Source organism: Homo sapiens, chromosome 1, assembly GCF_000001405.40.
Source record: "Homo sapiens chromosome 1, GRCh38.p14 Primary Assembly".
In the NCBI taxonomy this organism is placed as follows: domain Eukaryota; kingdom Metazoa; phylum Chordata; class Mammalia; order Primates; family Hominidae; genus Homo; species Homo sapiens.
Window position 1 is genome coordinate 19,792,416 of NC_000001.11, and position 19,440 is coordinate 19,811,855.

Consider the following 19,440-nt stretch of genomic DNA (forward strand, 5'->3'; position numbering starts at 1 on the left):
CTGACTGGGTCATTTTTGTCAGTAGTTGGGGCAGAGAGACATTCCATAAATATCTGACCTCAGCTCCACAAGTACCCACAGTAGGCACTCTGAATATTTGTTGACTGATGCCATAAACAATACCATTGGATTTCTTCTTGGAGAGTTGAAAAATTCTAAAGTTAGCACCAAGGAGAAAATCAAATATGGTCAATACCATCTTTGAAAATCCTTTAAATTGTCCTTAAAATTCCATGATGTGGGCCTTTAGAAGATCACATGCAAGAATGAACTTTTGTTTTTTCTTTACATGCCAGCCAGCTATGGCCTTTCTTTTCCCCCTTGGAGCAGTCAGTGAAGGTCAAGGTCAATTTTTTTTTTTTTTTTTTTTTTTCAGACAAAGTCTTGTTCTGTTTCCCAAGCTGGAGTGCAGTGGCGCAATCTGGGCTCACTGCAACCTCCACTTCCTGGGTTCAAGCAATTCTCCTGTCTCAGCCACCCAAGTAGCTAGGATTACAGGTGCACACCATGATGCCTGGCCAAGTTTTGTATCTTTAGTAGAGACAGGGTTTCACCACGTTGGCCAGGCTGGTCTTGAACACCTGGCTCAAGTGATCCTGTCACCTCAGCCTCCCAAAGTTTTAGGATTACAGACGTGAGCCACCACGCCTGGCCTCAGTGTCAAATTTGATGTGACTATATGAGTGTAGGTAAGTGACTATATTAGTGTGCCGCCTCTCCCATGCTGCTCCAGCCATACCCTCCTCCTTGCAGCTCCTGGACCCCACCAGGCTTTCTCTCTCTCTCCTTTTTCTGATTGCAGTTGAGTTTTTAAATGATTCTGCAGTGCAATAAAATAAGCATTAATAGGGAGATGGCTACAGCGTCATGGGAAGGCTGAAGACTAATTATTCTGGGGCCAAGGAGAAAGAAAAGCATTTGGCTAAGAAATCATTCACAACACATAAAGCTATAGCACCATCCTTAGGCCAGAAATGCCAAAGATCATAGTTGAAGGTTACAATACACACACATACCACACCCAAAATAAGACAATCTTGAGATGCTCCTAGAAGGGCAGAGTCTAGGCAGGCCCAGGTCAGCACCCTCTGCAGCCATTTAGAAGAGACACCCATTGATTCTACATCTCTATCTGAAGTCATATTGGAAGCGAGAGGTCAGTGAGGCATCTCAGGAGGTCTCCATGACAACAGTTCCAACGTAGAAGAACCCAGAGGGTTTTGGATAATCACACTGCAGACGAGAAGAAAACAGAGATGCTGGCATGGAAGGAAAGCTCCCCTCCCACCCTCGCTTCAGCAGTCTGGAGGAGGGGCAGGAGGGTGGGGTGACAGTGCCATTGGGGTGGATACCCAGGCCCTGTGATGTGTGCCTACATTTACCACTGCTCTCTTCCTTCTCCTGCCTGCTATTAACCACTGTCACCTCTTACTGGGTCACGCCTCTCCACATATCTGCTTTTTTTCTGCCCTCAACCCAGCTGTTCAAGCACAGCACCCAGAGAGTGCCATCTCAGAGTCAGGCCATGCCCTTCCTCTGCTCCAAACCCTCCAAGACTCCCTTCTCAAAGTCAAGGTCCTTACAATGATGATGGGGCCGCTGCAATCTGGCCTGAATTGCCTCTCTGCCCCCCACCCCTGCCGCCTCTCCCATGCTGCTCTAGCCACACCCTCCTCCCTGCAGCTCCTGGACCCCACCAGGCATGCTCCCACCTCACACAGACTTTGCATTGGCCGTTCCCACGGCTGGGAATGCTTATCCCCCAGATAAGGACACAGCCAACTCCCTCACCTCCTTCTGTCTGTGCTCAAATCTCACACTTCAGTGCAGCCACCCTACCCACTGCCCATCCTAGCCCCTTAACCCAGCTGCTCCACTTTGTCCACAGCACACAAACACCAGCCTCCCAATTCTGTATCAGTTACTTGTTTATATTGATCGCTTATCTTCGATCTCCCTCTGCTCACAGTTAAGCACAGTGGGAACTCAGCAACATTTGTTGACTGAGTGGTGGTTTCCACTTGGGATAATTAAAAAATAATTACAGCGACAAATGTGCCTGAGAAGGAAGTGGCAGAAATGGCAAAGTTTGTAATAGTCCATTTGACCCACTGGTTTTCAAACTGCCCCCCAGAGCCCCAGAGTGACGGGCAAGATGAAACACAGGGGGGACCCCTCAATACCCCACCTTCAAATTATAACAGCACATGTTCCAGCAACGCCACTTCTGGGTATATATGCAAAATAATTGAAAGCTGGGTCTCAAAAACATATTTGTACACCCATGTTTACAGAATTATTCACCATAGCCGAGAGTTGGAAGCAACCCAAATGCCCATCTACAGATGAATAGATCAACAAAATATGATATATACACACAGTGGAACATTATTCAGTCTTGAAAAAGGAAGGAAATTCTGACACGTTACAACACGAATGAACCTTGAAAAGTTGTGAAATAAGCCAGTCACAAAAAGATAAAATGCTGTACAATTCCACTTAAGTAAGGTATGAGGAGTAGTCAAATTCATAGAGACAGAAAGTAGAATGAATGGTGGTGGCCAGGGGCTGCGGGGAGGAGGAACAGGGGAGGGAAGTGGTTGTTTAATGGGTGTGGAGTTTCAGATCTGCTAGTTGGAAAGTTCTAGAGATTTGTTGCACAACGATGTGAATATACTTGACATTACTGAACTACACACTTAAAATGATTACGATGGTAAATTTCATGGTATGTGTATTTTATCGCCATTTTTACCTTAAAAAAAAAAATAGGGGCCGGACACAGTGGCTCACGCCTGCAATCCCAGCACTCTGGGAGGCTGAGGTGGGTGGATCACCTGAGGTCAGGAGTTCGAGACTACCTGGACAACATGGTGAAACCCCGTCTCTACTAAAAATACACAAAAATTAGCTGGGCGTGGTGGCGAGCACCTGTAGTCCCAGCTACTCAGGAGGCTGAGGCAGGAGAATCACTTGAATCCAGGAGGCGGAGGTTGCAGTGAGCCGAGATTGCGCCATTGCACTCCAGCCTGGGTGACAAGAGCAAAACTCTGTCTCAAAAAGTAAATAAATAAAAAATAAATTAAAAATTTAAAAAAAATTTAAACATTTAAAAATCACAATAGTAAATGCTTGGCAAATGTTAGCCACGTGTCACCTCTTTCTACATATCATCTCATTTTCTCTCAATAATCCTACAAGGTGGGTGCTATTATCACCCTTCCACAGATGGGGACAGAGAGGCCCTGAGAATTGAAGGTCAAGGTCACTGGACGAGTCATGTGGTATTTCAACTTGTGCCTGGGTCTTAGGCCACGGGCAGCCATCTTCACAATGATGCTGTTCTACCTCTCTGGTGTGGTTTACACCCTGGCCAAAGATTTCCAACACAATTTGAAAACCAGCAAATTGGATGAATCTGACCAGCTCCCATCTATCCACAGGCTCACATCCCACTTCTGAGCCCCAGGCACCTGTGGACGGGCCTAACCTGCCTTTCCTGCTTTGTTTTCTTTCACTCCCTGCTTCCAGCTCATCCTCAGCTAAACTGCACTCCCCTGCTTCCAGCCCACGCTGGGATACCACCTCGGGCCTCAGCTCAGGCTGTTCTCTCCGTCTGGGTCCCCCTGTCCAAATAGTGCCCTTTCCAAAAGCACAGTTAAATAATAAAATCAGCTTAGATTTTCTGGGGCCTACTTCCATGATCCCACTTCAGCTTCCCAACAACCTTATGAAGAAGAGACAATCGCTGTCCCCACTTTACAGATGAGAAAACTGAGACTCACAGAAGCGGAGGTCACACAGCTGGCAAGTCCTAGGATGCTCCTTCCAGGCCTGTGTGACCTCAAACCCCAAGTCCTTCTCCACTTTACTAAGGTGGGGGGTCAGGGGTTGCCACGCACCTCCCTGGATTTGTCCAGCGAATGTGGGGCCTGCCAACTCTGAAGCTCCAAAGACTTCGTCTGGGCCCCTCCACCTCTCCTTGGACATAATGGCCGGTTGCTAATGTGTCTGTCTCCCTGACCAGGAGGGTCAGGGTGAGAGTGGATGAAGCCCAGGGCACCAGGGATTCGCAATTAATATTTTCGTTATTCATACCAGTGTAAGACAGCTGGCCCCTCCACTCCCGCCTCTAACCCAACCCTTTGTGATTTTTATTTTTTTTATTTTATTTTTTTGAGATGGAGTCTTGCTCTGTTGCCAGGCTGGAGTGCAGTAGCTCGATCTCGGCTCACTGCAACCTCCACCTCCCGGATTCAAGCGATTCTCCTGCCTCAGCTTCCTGAGTAGCTGGGACTACAGGTGCATGCCACCATGCCCAGCTAATTTTTGCATTTTTAGTAGAGACAGGGTTTCACCATGTTGGCCAGGATGGTCTCAATCTCTTGACCTCGTAATCTGCCCTCCTTGGCCTCCCAAAATGCTGGGATTACAGGTGTGAGCCACCACGCCTGGCCTGTGATTTTTCTTTATCAAATTTACCACCACCTGACAATGTATTATAGGTTTATTTATGGTCTATCTCCCTCACTAGAGGAAGCTCAGAAAGGCAGTGGCTTTTGGGTCACAATCCCTGATACATCCTAGGACAGCACCTGGCAGAGCAGGGGTTCAATCCCTGTGTGCTGAATGAAACAACCCACAACTGAAAAATGACTTCAGCAGATTTTTTTGAAGGACAATATCATTTTATATAAAGTGAGGTCCCCAATATGCTCAAGAGGGCCTCCCTATAGGTGGACATCATTATTGAGCACCTACTAAGCAAACTTGGCCCTGGTCCTGGATGTCACAGGGGTTACAGTCAGGGTGGTGTACAGGGTACAGGCAGGAATTAATCCCAGCAATGAGAGTATAATTCCACCCTGAACTTAACCTCTGACATACCAGTAGAAGTCTTGTGGCCTGGGCATTTGGAGTACAAGTCTGGCTAGGGCTAAAATGTGAAGAATGAGAAGATGTTACCTGGGAAAAGGGAGGCAGGGGGTAGAAGTGGCCTGGAAGAGCAGGTGCAAAGGTCCCAAGGAGGGAGGGGTGGCATGCCTGGGCACAGAGGGCTGTTGATAAGTGGTCTGAGATGCGGCTGGAGGTGTAGGCCAGGGGACAGTGGTACATAGCCTTCTGGTCCATGTAAAAGGTTTTTTCTCTTTTCCTTAAGAAAGTGGGAAGCCAAGGCCAGGCGCGGTGGCTCACGCCTGTAATCCCAGTACTTTGGGAGGCTGAGGCGGGCAGATCACGAGGTCAGGAGTTCAAGACCAGCCCAATATGGTGAAACCCCATCTCTACTAAAATACAAAAATCAGCCGGGCATGATGGTGGGCGCCTGTAGTTCCAGCTACTTGGAAGCCTGAGGCAGGAGAACCGCTTGAACCTGGGAGGCGGAGGTTGCAGTGAGCTGAAATTGCATCACTGCACTCCAGCCTGGGTGACAGAGTGAGACTCTGTCAAAAAAAAAAAAAGAGAGAAGAAAGAAAGAGAGAGAGAGAGGGAGGGAGAGAGGGAGGGAGGGAGGGAGAGAGAGAGAAAGAGAGAGAAAGAGAGAGAAAAGAAAAGAAAAGAAAAGAAAAGAAAAGAAAAGAAAAGAAAAGAAAAGAAAAGAAAAGGAGAAAGAAGAAAATGGGAAGCCAGAGCGGGGTTTTAGGCAGAGGGTGGTACCATGATATCAGGGCAGCTTGAAGCGGAGGTCGGCTAAATGGAAAGTGGATTGGATTTCACTCTCACCCCTTCTGCCTGCTGTCACACGTTCCAGAGAGCCAGTTCCCCACTCCTCATCAGCAGCCCCGGTTTATAATGTACAACACTGTTTACAAAACACACAGGCCAAAAGAGAACACAATGAGAAACCACCCACTGACATTTCTTAGGTCCCACGTTAGCCAGCCCTGGTGGCTGATCAGCCTTTGTAGCCCAGTGGTACCAGAGTAGAGAGAGATGGTTTGAGCCTTATGAGGAACTCTCCAGACCCCAGCTTTTGTGGGAGCTACATGCTGAGCTATGACAACCTAATCGATGAACTCCTCCTGTCCAACTCCTCCTTGGGCCTTAGGACTAAAAAGTATAAAGTCTCCCAAAGTGTCAGATACTGCACTGGGCCTTTTGTGGCTTCAGCTCCTTTAATTTTCACAACAACCTTGGAGACAGGTCATTTAACTTGCCTGATCCCACTCAGTTACAAAGCTGCAAAGCTAGCACCTGAGCCCATCTCTGTCTGATGCTGCACACGAGGGCTTGAGGCCACTCTAATACCGATCTCTTCTGCTGTCTTCATGTACTTCACAGTTGGGGAAATGCCAGTGGTCTCCCCTGTGCCCAGCCCTCCCTCCCCAGGCTGAAGGGCAGGGCTTTATTCCACCCTCTGGAGTGTACTTCCTGAGGGCAGCGCTCCTTTTTGTTCACTGCTGTATCCTCGTTGCCTAAACAATGCACACAGTAGGTGCTCAACAAATATTTGGTGAATGAACAAATGGATGTTCCCAAAGCTTAAAAGAGTGTCATATTTTCTGCAATGAACACTGAGTTAGGAAAAAGGGGGCTCATGTGCTGACTCCTACTTCGAGTTAGGTAGTAGTCTGGGATTCTAGCCTGGCCCTGCTCCTAATTCCCAGTGCAACCCCAGGGAAGGGCCAGGCAGCCTGGTCAGGGCAAAGGCATTGTGGAGGCCAACTCTGTGCGAAGCACTGGGTCAGGCTCTCCAGGCAGGTAGCCCAGGTTTTTATCTCTTGCTTCCTAGCTGTGTGGTCTTGGGGAAGTTACCTCACCTCTCTGAGCCTCAGTTTACCCAGCTGTAAAATCCACTCAAAAGTCAGCAGCAGTAATTCTTCCCTCCTGTAACTTCAGGCATGGGCACCAGAAGACATGGCCTCCTTGTAACATGAGGAGCCTGGTTTTTCTCCAGAGGCTCCCCAAGCCCTCCTGGAATTCTCTGTTTGAGAGTCTGCGGGGGGACAGGGAGACAGGAGGCGGGGGAGTCCTAGAGGCCTTCCTGACGGGGGCGTGGAGGGGCCACGTGGGGCAAGGGGAAGCACAGGGACCTCTTGTGACCTTGGGCAAGCCCCCTTCCTCTCTGACCTTGACCAGCGTCCTCATTTGTCAAGGGAGCGGCTGGGTGACCTCTAAGAACTCGGAGGCCGAGGCCGGAGTCGCCCGAGTGCTCCGCCCAGCCTCAGTTTCCCCCTCTGCCTCCCCAAGATTTCTAAAAGCACTTCCGGCTCTGAAAACAAACCAACCACCAGCAGGCGGCCTGGGCTTAGGGCAGGCAGCGCCAGGGAGCGCGCGGCCGCTTCCTGGTGGGTCCAGTGTCCCCGGGGTGGAGGGCGGGGCGCAGGGCAAAGGGCCCCGGGGCTGGGCCGGGCTCCGAGTGCCCCGCGTGGGGCCGGCGGGGAGTGGCCCAGCGAGGTGCGCGCCACCGTGGCCTGGCGGCTCCTCCGGGGCCCCCTTACCTGGAGGCGGCTGCGAAGGCAAAGGCGGAGGCGGCAAAACCGGCGAGCGGCTCCTCCCGCCCGGCCCGGCCCGGCCCCTCCCCTCCCCGCCGCGTCCCGGCCCCGGTCCCGGCCCGTCCCGCCGCCTGCCCCGAGCGCGCCTGGTCGCCACCGGCCGGGCGGAGCACTTAGGGAGCGCGGCGCGGGGGCGCGGGGCCTTCCAGGCTCTGACTCGCCAGCTGCGGGTCCCGACCTGGCTCGTCCCACCTCTGCCCCACCTCCACCACCCATCGCGACAGGGGTGCCGGCCTCTGCAGGTGACCGGCAAGCCCGCGGCGCCACATCTGTGTGTGGGTCCATTTACCCTCCAGGAAGCAGCGAGACAGCGCGGCGCGGGAGAAGGGCCCTGCAGGGTTGGACTTTGCAGAAACTGCCCGCGAAGGACTCGGCCCCGAGAGTGGCATGCCCCAAAGCCACATTTTGAAGACAAAGTCTTCAAAAATGTATAATGTAAACAAAGAACCAGCCGCAGAAACCGCCTTCCCGCACGTGTATGCAGCACTTTGTAGTTTGCAAAGTGTTCAGATATCTAAGTTCTTCCTGATTCTACTTTCATTTTCCCTAACGCTAAGTTTGGTCCTGTCTCAGGGCCTCTGCCTGGAGGCTCCCGTGCCTGGGACTCTCTGCCTTCAGACCTCCCTTTCCCCCAATCCATTTCCTGCTTTCCATTCTGGTCTCTTGGGATGGGATCTGAGAGTCTTCCCTGAGCACCCAGCACATTCAGTCATTGAACAAATTTACCGAGCACCTACTACGCGCCAGGTACAGTTCTTTTTTTTTTTTTTTTTTTTTTTTTGAGATAAGAGTCTCGCTCTGTCACCCAGGCTGGAGTGCACTGGCCCGATCTCAGCTCACTGCAACCTCCGCCTCCCGGATTTAAGCGATTCTCCTGCCTCAGGCTCCCTGGTAGCTGGTACTACAGGCGTGTGCTACCACACCCGGCTAATTTTTGTATTTTTAGTAGAGACGGGGTTTTGCTATGTTGGCCAGGCTGGTCTCGAACTCCTGACCTCTGGTGACCCACCCGCCTCGGCCTCCCAAAGTGCTGGGATTACAGGCGTGAGCCACCGCGCAGCCCCAACTAGACTTTAAAAGCCCTGGAGGTGGGCGGGTTTAGGCTGCCTTGCTCTCCGCTGTGTGCCCAGCCCCAGGGACTGTGCCTAGCACTTGCAGGTGCTCAAAAGAAGCACTTAATGAATGGATCTCTTTCCCCTAGCAACCCTGTGAAATTTCATCACACCCACTCTGAAGGAGAGGAAACCGAGGCTCAGGTCCAGACAATGCAGAAGCCACAGAGCTAATGAGTGCCAGAGCTAGGGCATGAATCATCGTGGCCTCAGAAGCTGTTGCCCTTACTCCCAGTGAAGACAATCTAGGGTTATGGGAGGAAAAGGTACCGACGGGGGTCAGAGACCAGCATCCCAGCTCAGAGCCTGGGACTCACGCACCTGTGAAATGTTCCTTCCTTCATCTGCTCATCTCCCCACTGGCCAATCAGGACCAAGAAGGGCAGCTCTACCCACCCATGAAGTTATTGTGAGGGTCAAATGGGTCAATCGTGTGCAGGCTTTAGGGGAATAAGGGGTTATATCTGAGCATGTGAGCTTTGTCAAGATTGAGAACTGCAGCCAGCCCTCCTCTTAATGTCTGGCAGCCCCTTCCAGCAGATCAGCTTTGTGGGACCAGGCACCACTCTGCACTCCCCTGCTTTGCCCTGTCTCTAATTTGATTAGAGACCTTGTGTTGAACACACTTGTCTTTGGGTATTGGACCCTGTTCAGCCATTGCCCGGCACCCAACCCTCACCCTAGTCGCCCCCACTGCACACAGTTCCTGATCCCATCATTGAGGCTATGGGTGGGAAAGATGGAGAAAATATGTTTACCCCTTTTGGTGTATGCTTTTGAGATTTTGTTAGGTTTGGTATTGGACATTGAAGAATTTTGTTTCCTCTAAGTAACTCTCCCCCAAAGGAATGTTTAGGGAGTTGTGGAAGGGGAAGCCTTCTAATGAACCATTGACTAATTCAACCAGGATGTGTGGAGTGGCTGGTGGGGTTCTAGATGTTGAGGGTATAGCAGGAGAATCAAAGTGTTTCCAGCAAAATCATGGAGCTTACATTCTGGTTTGGGGGATGGGTGGAGGGAGATGGACAAGAAACCAACTGATTTTATTTTACTTTATTATTATATTTTATTTTTTATTGAGACGGAGCCTTGCTGTGTCGCCTAGGCTGGAGTGCAATGGCACAATCTCAGCTCACTGCAACCTCCACCACCTGGGTTCAAGCGATTCTCACGCCTCAGCCTCCTGAGTAGCTGGGTCTACAGGTGCGCACCACCATGCCTGGCTAATTTTTTTGTATTTTTAGTAGAGATGGGGTTTCACCATGTTGGCCAGGCTGGTCTTGAACTCTTGAACCTCTCAAAGTGCTGGGATCACAGGCGTGGGCCACCGCACCTGGCAAACAAACTGATTTTAATCTGTTTTACAGAAAAAGTAAAGCAGGGAGGTCACGCTATAGAAGATGAAGCAGTCAGGGAACCGCTGCAGGCGATCTTTGAGGAGGCTATCAGGTTACAGGGCACAGCATCCAAGGTAGACCCAGCAATTGCAAAGGTCTTGAGGTGGGAGTGTGGTTGGCCCTTATAAGAAAACGGTGTGAGAGGAGAGTGGAGAGTGCTGGGGGAGAGTCCTGGATGAGATGAGATCAGACAGGTAGTGGGGGTCGTATCACTGTGAGCTTTTAAGAAATGCTGATGAGGGCTGGGTGCAGCGGCTCCCGCCTGTAATCCCAGGACTTTGGGAGGCCAAGACGGGTAAGTCACTTTAGCCCAGGAGTTTGAGACCAGCCTGGGCAACATGGTGAAACCCCGTCTCTACTAAAAATCCAAAAATTAGCTGGGCATAGTAGGGCAAGCCTGTAGTCCCAGCTTCGTGGAGGGCGGAGGTTGCAGTGAGCCGTGTTTGCACCACTGGACTTTAGCCTGGGCAACAGAGGGAAACTGTCTCGAAATTTAAAAAAATACATATATATATATATATATATATATATTTGCTGATGCTTAGGCTAGGGTTGCCAGATTTAGCAAATGAAAATAGAGGACTCTGTTTTATTTCAATTTCAGATAGACAATGGATAATTGTTTAATATGAGTATGTCCCAATACTGCACAGGATATACTTATATTAAACAATTACTTATTGTGTATCTGAAATTTAAGTATAGCTGGGTGTCCTGTATTTTATCTGGTAACCCTATTTGGGCCCCACTCTCAGAGATTCTGATTCCATTGGTCTGGGATCTGGCCAGGCATAGGTGTTGTTCAGAAGCCCACAGGTATTTCTTTTCTTTTCTTTTCTTTTCTTTTAAACAAAAAACAACAACAACAAAAAACCTGCCCAGGAGTGGTGGCTCACGCCAGTAATCCCAACACTTTGGGAGGCTAAGGTAGGCGGATCACCTGAGGTCAAGAGTTCAAGAACAGCCTGGCCAACATGGCAAAACCCCGTCTCTACCAAAAATACAAAAAAAAAAAAAAAAAAAATAGCCAGGTGTGGTGGCGGGTGCCTGTAGCCCCAGCTATTGGGAAGACTGAGGCAGGAGACTCTCCTGAACCTGAGAGGCGGAGGTTGCAGTGAGCTGTGATGGTACTGCTGCACTCTAGCCTGGGCGACAAAGCAAGACTCTGACTCAAAAAAAACTTTTTTTTAATTTTTAAAAAACTTTAAAAAAAGGTTTTAGGTTTAGGGTACATGTGCAGGTTTGTTATATAGGTAAACTTGTGTCACAGGGGGTCTGTTGTACAGATTATTTCATCACCCAGGTATTAAGCCTAGTACCCAATAGTTGTTTTTTCTGTTCCTCTCCTTCCTCCCAACCTCCACCCTCAAATAGGTCCCAGCATCTATTGTTCCCTTTTCTGCGTTCATGAGTTCTCATCATTTAGCTCCCACTTATAAGTGAGAACACGAGGTATTTGGTTTTCTTTTCCTGCATTAGTTTGCTAAGGATAATAGCCTCCAGCTACATCCATATTCCTGCAGAAGAAGTGATCTCATTCTTTTTTATGACTGCATAGTATTTCATGGTATATATGTAACACATTTTCTTTATCCAATCTGTCATTGATGGGCATTTAGGTTGATTCCATGTCTTTGCTAGTGGCTCACAGGTATTTCAAATGTGTGAGCAGTTCCAGGAGCCACTGATGTAGGGCCTTGTCTACTCAGTTAGGGGTGTGGATGGACAGTTGTAGAGGGTTGGGGGCAGTGAATTGACATGACCTCACCTTTTAAAAAGATCCCATTGGCTGCTGTGTGGAGGGCAGAGAGACAAGAGTGGACAGAGGAAGCTGATTAGGAAGCTATTGCAATAGTCCAGGCCGGAAAGAGGTCTGTATTTGTTGAGCTCCTACTATGGCTAGGCACAAGAGCGCATAATGGAAACAGAGGTTACTGAGTCCTCCCTTGGCCCTACCCCGTTCAGAATTTCTCAGGGATGTGGGAGCCTAGGAATTTGTATTTTTAACATGCTCCTCTGGTGATTCTGATGATCAGTCAGGTTTGGAACAACTAAATTATTGGCTTTTAATTTTCCTGGAAATTCTAGAAATCACCATGAATACTGCTTAGGGAGCACTGTCCTTATTGCTGGCTCCATGTGCCTTCCATATATACCTTCTATCCTTCAACCCTATGCAGTATATATGATCATTAGCCCTATTTCTCAGAAGAAGGAACTGAGGCTCAGAGAGGAATAACTTGGCCAGGATCACCGAGCTACAAGGTGGCAGAGTCAGGATTTGAACCCGGGTCTGGCTGATTCTGCTATCCTGCCCTTGATATTTACGCCTAAATATCAATACAAATTAAAGATATTTAGATGAGTTGCGGATAATGGACCCTCAATGGGAGAAGCCTCCTTTGCTATGTCCCGTTGATGTCTCTCCTCCTAGGACTGACGTGAGGGCTGGCCCGGCCTGGGTGTTTGTTGAGTGGAACTGAATTCTAGGGATGATTTCACTGAGGGCAGCCCATATTCTTTCCCACAGAGGATCCCTGTGATGCTGTTGTGCTGAACTTGAGACTGAATGAGCCAGAAGGCTATTTATGGTCACTTATTTCCTTACAACACTCAGAAATAATCTGAGCTCCCCTGGGGAGGGATTGGACACTCCCTTAGAGGAAGGCCAGGGTGGAGGTAACTTCGGACGATGTGTGGTTACCATGGATGTGACATTGCTGAGCAATCTCTTGTTTGTGTTTCCAAGCCATCTTTGACCCAAAGAACTGAATAACTTTATGTTAATTGGACCATCAACTGGAATCGGCAGAGCTAAGTCTTGGGGATTTGGAGTCAAAGCCATTTGGGTTAATAATTCCCCTCACTGTTTTCTTTTTTCTTTTTTTGAGACGAAGTCTCAGTTTTTCACCCAGGCTGGAGTGCAGTGGCTCCATCTTGGCTCACTGCAATCTCTGCCTCCTGGGTTCAACTGATTCTTCTGCCTCAGCCTCCTGAGTAGCTGAGATTATAGGCACACGCCACCACGCTCGGCTCACTTTTGTATTTTTAGTAGAGGCGGATTTTTGCCATGTTGGCCAGGCTGGTCTCGAACTCCTGACCTCAAATGATCTGCTCACCTTGGCCTCCCAAAGTGCTGGGATTACAGGTGTGAGCCACCGCACCCGGCCACCCCTCACTGTTTTCATGTGTTAGGTAATAATTTCATAGTCTCCTGCCATATCTCTTACACAGAGGCTTGGGTCATGACTTCTACCTGCTTCTTATCTAAGAATGCTTTGCACTTGCCCCTGGTCTGATATTTTCTAATGTGTGAGACCCATATCACTGGTGGTACATGAGGTGCCTCTAGCTGGTACATGAACCTGCATTAAATCACCTTGAATCGCACAGTAAGAAAGCAATTCCCTTCAATCCTTGTTCTGTTGGGATTGTTTGATGCTATTGAATCTTTAAAACTCCTCTAACATTTGCTAATCATTCCCTTTTAATGAAGGAAAATAGGCCTCAGCTCAAAGCCTAGCTTTAGACAGCCTCACAGCTATCTAAAATATTGAGTTTGGATTTAATTATGTTGTTTATTTATTTAGTAAACTTTTTATTTTGGAAGGATTTTAGATTGACTGCAAAGAGAGCTACAGAGTTCTTATCTAAGAACCATATACCTTTCACCCTGTTTTTCCCCAGTGTTAGCATCTTACGTAAACATATGGTACATTTGTCAAGACAAACAAACTGGTATTGGGTATTGGTACTTACTGTTAACTAAAGTATGGAATTTATCAGTTTTCCATTAATGTCCTTTTACTGTTCCAGAATCCAGTCTAAGACACCACATCGCATTCAGTATTATTTATTTATTTATTGAGACAGGGTCTTCCTCTGTTGCCCAGGGTGGAGTGCAGTGGCACAATCATGGCTCACTGCAGCCTCTACCTCCTGGGCTCAAATGATCCTCCTGCCTCAGCCTCCTGAGCAGCTGGGACTACAGGTGCGCACCAGCACACCAGCTAATTTTTATATTTTTTTGTAGAGACAGAGTCTCACTAGGTTTGCCAAGTCTGGTCTCAAACTTCTGGACTCAAGTGATGTTCCCATCTCAGCCTCCCAAAGTGTTGGGATTACAGGTGTGAGCCATCGTGTCTGGCCAGCAGGACTTTATTAAGGAATGCTGGGGGCAAGCAGGGAGAAATCAGGCCCAGTATTAAGGAGAAGCCAGGTGCTGGAAGCCTTGCTAAGGAGGGTGTAATTTACCTTGAAGGCAAGGAGGAACCACCAGTTTTAAGCAAGGCTGAAATTTGTTCTTTTCTGAAGGCCCCTTTCTGGTTGCAGTGTAGAGAATGAACTTACTGCAGGGCAATGCTGGAGGAAGTAGTGACCAACAGAGCCAGATGAAGGCTTTCTCTCCAGGGCAATTCACAAAGCTCTGAAACCCTCAGCGCAGCAAGTGTGGACAGAGCAGGCATCTCAGCATAAGATTGAACCAGGCCAGGAGCGGTGGCTCAGCACTTTGGGAGGCCAAGGTGGGCGGATCACGAGGTCAAGATATCGAGACCATCCTGGCCAACATGGTGAAACCCCGTCTCTACTAAAAATACAAAAATTAGCTGGGATTGGTAGCGTGCAACTGTAGTCCCAGCTACTCGGGAGGCTGGGGCAGAAGAATTGCTTGAATCTGGGAGGTGGAGGTTGCAGTGAGCTGAGATCATGCCACTATACTCCAGCCTGGTGACAGAGTGAGACTCTGTCTTAAAAAAAAAAAAAAAAAGATTGAACCAGACACCAGAGTCTCAGACCAAGCTCTTAGACCCTATAGTATTATTATATTCGGTGTTACTTTTTAAAAGCTATGATGTATGTACAGAAAAAGCACACAGAGGATGTAAGCACTGTTTACAAGTAATTATACAGTAAACACCCACCTGTATAACTACCACCTAAGTCAAAAAATAGAACAGGCCAGTGCAGTAGCTCATGCCTGTAATCCCAGCATTTTGAGAGACTGAGGCGGGAGGATCCCTTCAGCCCAGGAGCTCAAGACCAACCCGGACAACACAGCAAGACCTTACTAAAAAAAAAAAAAATCAAAAAAATTAGTTGGGTGTGGTGGTGTATTCCCATAGACCCAGCTACTTGGGAGGGTAAGGCAGGAAGATCTCTTGAGCCTGGGATTTCAGGGATGCAGTGAGCTACGATCGCACCACTGCACTCCAGCCTGGGTGACAAAGCAATATCCTATCTCAAAGAAAAAAAATAGAACATTACCAACATTACCAGTGTCCCAGAAGCCTCTCCCTAATCAGAACCTCCTTCTCCTCCAGAGATACTCTCTTCCATTATTATTCAAGTTTCATTCAGCTTTTTTACTTTAGTAAATATGTGTAGATCTTGTTTCCCCAGGTTGTGTGATGGTGATGGGGGTGGGAGTGGTCAGGAGTGTCCCTTAAATTGTACACCTTCCCAGGCACCTGATAGGCTGATGGGACAGGAGGGCACCCACTCTGCGTTGAGAACAGTGCAGGTATTGTATACGTCATCTAATCAGATTGCCATAAAATCTGTATGAGGCAGGCCTGATGAGCCTACATTTCCCAATTCAGGGAAAGCACATACCATACCCAAGGTCACACAGAGCATAAATTGTAGTTGTTGGGTTTTGTTTTGTTTTTTTGTTTTTTTGAGACAAAGTCTCACTCTATCGCCCAACCTGGAATGCACTGGCACGATCTTGGCTCACTGCAACCTCCGCCTCCTGTGTTCAAGCTATTCTCCTGCCTCAGCCTCCCAAATAACTGGGATTACAGGTGCCTGCCACCATGCCCAGCTAAATTTTTTTGTATGTATTTTTAGTAGAGAGGGGATTTTGCCATGTTGGCTGGGCTGGTCTTGAACTCCTGACCTCAGGTGATCCACCCACTTTGGCCTCCCAAAGTGCTGGGATTACAGGTGTGAGCCACTGCATCTGGCCCTAGAAGTTGGTTTTGAACCCAGGTCTGTCTTGACTGAGGGCCCTGTTCTTTCCTTGGCTTGTTCTGATGGGGGTAGGGGAAGGTGAGGAAGGACGGGAATGACGCGGGGTGGCAGGGTGATGGTAGGTACGGGGACTAAGAGGGGGCTTTAGAGCCGGACTGGCCTGCCTGACTTCATATCTCAGCCCTGTCCCTCGGGCACATTGCTGACCTTCTCTGACCTTCTCTACGCCTCAGTTTGCTGCCTGAATAGGGGTTTTGTGTTGATTCTATGAGAAAACATGTAAAATGCCCAGCACAATAAATCATCACACTTACCTCATGGGGTTGCTGTGAAGAATACAAGAGTTAAGTTTAGTTCAGGAAGCTTTTAGAACAGAACCTGCAGGGGGGAACCACTCATGAGCATTGGCCACTAATATTGTTGTTCTTTTCCCTTTCCCTCACGTTCATGGGTGTGCACTGAGCTGAAGTTGCTTTGAAATTGCTGCATCTACAGTGACTTTGCAGACTGTTTTCTTCTGCAGACTGACTCCAGTGAAGGGCTCTGGCTGGGCGTCTGGAGAACTAGAGCCTGTTTCTTCTGGGGATCATGAGGCCAGTGGAGTGGAGGCTGGCCTCCTCTAACAGTGGTGGCCTGAGCTCCACTCCATGTTTCCTGTCTGACCCCACTTGTAGGCAGAGCTAACGTGGGCACCACCCTCTTGGGCCTGACATCAGGACAGCCTCCCCGCAAGTTCAGACTGGCTCTTAGGTGGGAACGTGTGGTAGGAAGGCTCCCGACCACCTGGCCTGTGGCATTGCTTCTCCCCTGGCCTTTGGAGGGGCTGAGGCCTATGGTGGGATTTTTCAGCAGCCGGGATCCTGGACAGCTCCTGTATTCAGTCAGGGATATTGGTTGCAAGCAACAGAAACTGATTCAGGCTATCAGAAGAAAAAAAGTGAATTGTAGAGAAGGAACCTGAGACTTCAGTGAATCAACCAGAGGGGAAGCACCAGATGTGGGGACGATCTGGTTTGCTGCAGCAGCTGCTGCAGCCACTTTCAAATAGTCATTTCTCCTTGCATCACCAGCTCCAGATTCAAAGTACTGGAAAAGAGCATCCGACTGGAATAACTTGGATCAGGGGTTAATAATTGGGAACCCGGCTGCACAGCAGGAGGTGAGTGGCAGGCAAGCGAGTGAAGCTTCATCTGTATTTACAGCCACTCCCCATTGCTCACATTACCACCTGAGCTCCGCCTCCTGTCAGATCAGCGGCTGCATTAGATTCTCATAGGAGCATGAACCGTACTGTGAACTGTGCATGCGAGGGATCTACACTGTGCACTCCTTATGAGAATCTAATGCTCAGCATCTATTAATTTCCCTACCTCATCAACTAAGATTGAATATCCTGCTCAGGACCTGGCACAGAGCAGAACCTCAAGAAGTATTTGTTGAATAAAAGAATGGATGGATTCTAGATTCTATGGTGTGGGTTTTTTTGTTGTTGTTCATTTGTTTGTTTGTTTGAGACTGACTCTTGCTCCGTTGCCCAGGCTGGAGTGCAGTGGCACGATCTTGGCTCACTATAACCTCCGCCTCCCGGGTTCAAGCAATTCTCTTGCCTCAGCCTCCCAAGTAGCTCAGATTACAGGCTCATGCCACCATGCCTGGCTGATTTTTGTATTTTTAGTAGAGACAGGGTTTCACCATGTTGGCCAGGCTGGTCTTGAACCCCTGACCTCAGGTGATCCGCCCACCTCGGCCTCCCAAAGTGCTGGGATTACAGGTGTGAGCCACTGTGCCTGGCCTCCATGGTGTTTTGAATTCTCCATAGAGTTCTCTACTCTGTGGAGTGCTCCCAGAGATACACCCTCCCCCACTTTAAAAAAGTGATTTCAAGATACTCTAACAAAAATATAAAGTTCATGGGAACACCTCCAGGCACATTCAAGAGCTTGGATCTGACTTCTGTTTTTAATGAGCTTGATGCTTTTCCCACAGCCAGAGAAATTGCAGGAAAGTCCTTCCTTCCCAGAACGGCTCTGCTTTGCCACAGATAAAGAATTATTTGTTTTAAGAAAGCTTGAAAAACTTCCTCCAGTCATTTGAAAAGGGGTTCCAACAATGAACAGGAGGCCCCAGCAATAAATCAGGTGAGGCAAGGAAGTGGCTCTGGGAGATGGGACAGGTAGATTCCCACAACCCTCTGTCCCAGGCACCCACTAAATCAGGAAGTTGTCACTGAATGAGAGGATGCCAGTGCTTCTTAATTCTTCAGTCTTAGGGGCAGGTGACCCACATAACTTGATCACTTATGGTGTGCTGCAATGTTCCATCTGGTACAGCAAAGTGACTCAAAGCCCAAACTCTGGAGTTAAACTCCTACAGTCTACCCTTGGCCCCACCACTGTCTCATTGTGTGATCTTGGGCATGTTCCTTCACCTTTCTGTGCCTCGAAGTCCTCACTGATAATTTGAGAACAACAATAGTACCTCCTTTATAGCATATGTGATAATATATGTAATACACTTTGCAGGGTGCATTTAGATAATGTCAACAATTATCATATTATTGAGGATGCTGCTGGTGCTGAGGCTGATCATGGAAAAGGTGAATTCTAGTGCCCAGGTTTATTAAATGTCTGTTCTCATCATTCCCACTAGGGATTTCTAGAACTCAATCCCATCTCTCTGTCTCTCCCTGTCTTCCCCTCCCTTCTTTATCTCCTTAGTGCTCAACCATGGATTATTTCGCTGATTCCCCAGCAACCCTAGCAGGTATGTATCATAACCTCAGTTTCACGGATAAGAACCTGAGACGTAGAGAGACGAAGGGACTTGTAAGTGGAGAACTGGAATTCAAGCCAGGTATGTCTGCCTCCAAGGCTGCTGCATGGGGAGATGGACCTGATGGGAATGAAATTTGGCCTCTCCCCATAATTTCTTTTCATCGTTAGAACCTCCCTCTAGGACCTAGGCTCAGACTTCACTGCCAGACTGGCCTGCCCTGGACAACACTCCACACTCGACTGGCTGCCCCCTGCTGGCTGTCAAGCTGAACAAGCCCCAAGAAACCCATTTACCCAAGGAGGCCAATGGTGGCCAACAAAAGCAGTCCATTAGACAGTGGCTGCTCATCCAGCAGCACCCTGAATCCTCACGGAGGCCCTGGGAAGAGTGTATCCCCCACCTGCCACTTTACAGGTGACCAAACTAAGGCTCAGAGAAGTTCTGTAACTCCCTTCTGTCGCACACCAGGTCAGAGCTTGGCTTTGAGCCCCGGGCTGGCTCTCTGGTTTGTCCAATCACATTCTTTTGCAGGATGTCTATTTCCTCCTCTGTGTCTATTTCCTCTGCTCTCTTCCAGGGTGGCCTGGGTTGATTCTGGCCTCTGGTGCTCTCTGTTCCCATGCTGCCAAGGCCAGAGGATGACTGAGACCAGCTGAGCTTCTAAAGGGCTGGTGATAGCAGTGTCCGAAC

General features: G+C 48.8%; 1 protein-coding gene across 16 annotated transcripts in view, besides 5 other annotated features; it reads right to left on the reverse strand.

Annotated features, from left to right (window-relative positions):
• The window catches only part of TMCO4 (transmembrane and coiled-coil domains 4), a 117,677-nt gene extending 110,176 nt beyond the window's left edge, over positions 1 to 7,501 (reverse strand). For 2 of the 16 annotated variants that reach the window (XM_047416936.1, NM_001349115.1), the window contains exons 1-2: positions 6,759 to 6,934; positions 5,722 to 5,800 (exon numbers count right to left, since the gene is read on the reverse strand). Coding sequence is in view for 8 of the 16 variants with exons in the window: in XM_011541179.3 (XP_011539481.1) it covers positions 1,017 to 1,142 (126 nt within the window). In the remaining 8 variants the exon portion in view is untranslated. Of the gene's footprint in view, positions 1 to 1,016; positions 1,234 to 5,655; positions 5,801 to 6,758; positions 6,935 to 7,068 lie in introns of those variants that run through there. The other 14 variants (NM_001349112.3, XM_011541185.4, XM_011541179.3 and 11 more) reach the window with 13 other exon arrangements.
• Positions 1,021 to 1,180: an enhancer, noted in NCBI's record as "active region_306". NCBI's record gives its function as "activates an Ori minimal core promoter by ATAC-STARR-seq in GM12878 lymphoblastoid cells {active_cell/tissue: GM12878}" and the evidence as "EXISTENCE:reporter gene assay evidence [ECO:0000049][PMID:35858748]".
• Positions 1,241 to 1,320: an enhancer, noted in NCBI's record as "active region_307". NCBI's record gives its function as "activates an Ori minimal core promoter by ATAC-STARR-seq in GM12878 lymphoblastoid cells {active_cell/tissue: GM12878}" and the evidence as "EXISTENCE:reporter gene assay evidence [ECO:0000049][PMID:35858748]".
• Positions 7,246 to 7,745: a silencer, noted in NCBI's record as "silent region_361". NCBI's record gives its function as "represses an Ori minimal core promoter by ATAC-STARR-seq in GM12878 lymphoblastoid cells {active_cell/tissue: GM12878}" and the evidence as "EXISTENCE:reporter gene assay evidence [ECO:0000049][PMID:35858748]".
• Positions 7,246 to 8,169: a biological region, named in NCBI's record as "H3K27ac hESC enhancer GRCh37_chr1:20126577-20127077".
• Positions 7,669 to 8,169: an enhancer, noted in NCBI's record as "H3K27ac hESC enhancer chr1:20126577-20127077 (GRCh37/hg19 assembly coordinates)". NCBI's record gives its function as "activates a minimal SCP1, AML or CMV promoter by ChIP-STARR-seq in primed H9 embryonic stem cells {active_cell/tissue: H9 hESC(primed)}" and the evidence as "EXISTENCE:reporter gene assay evidence [ECO:0000049][PMID:30033119]".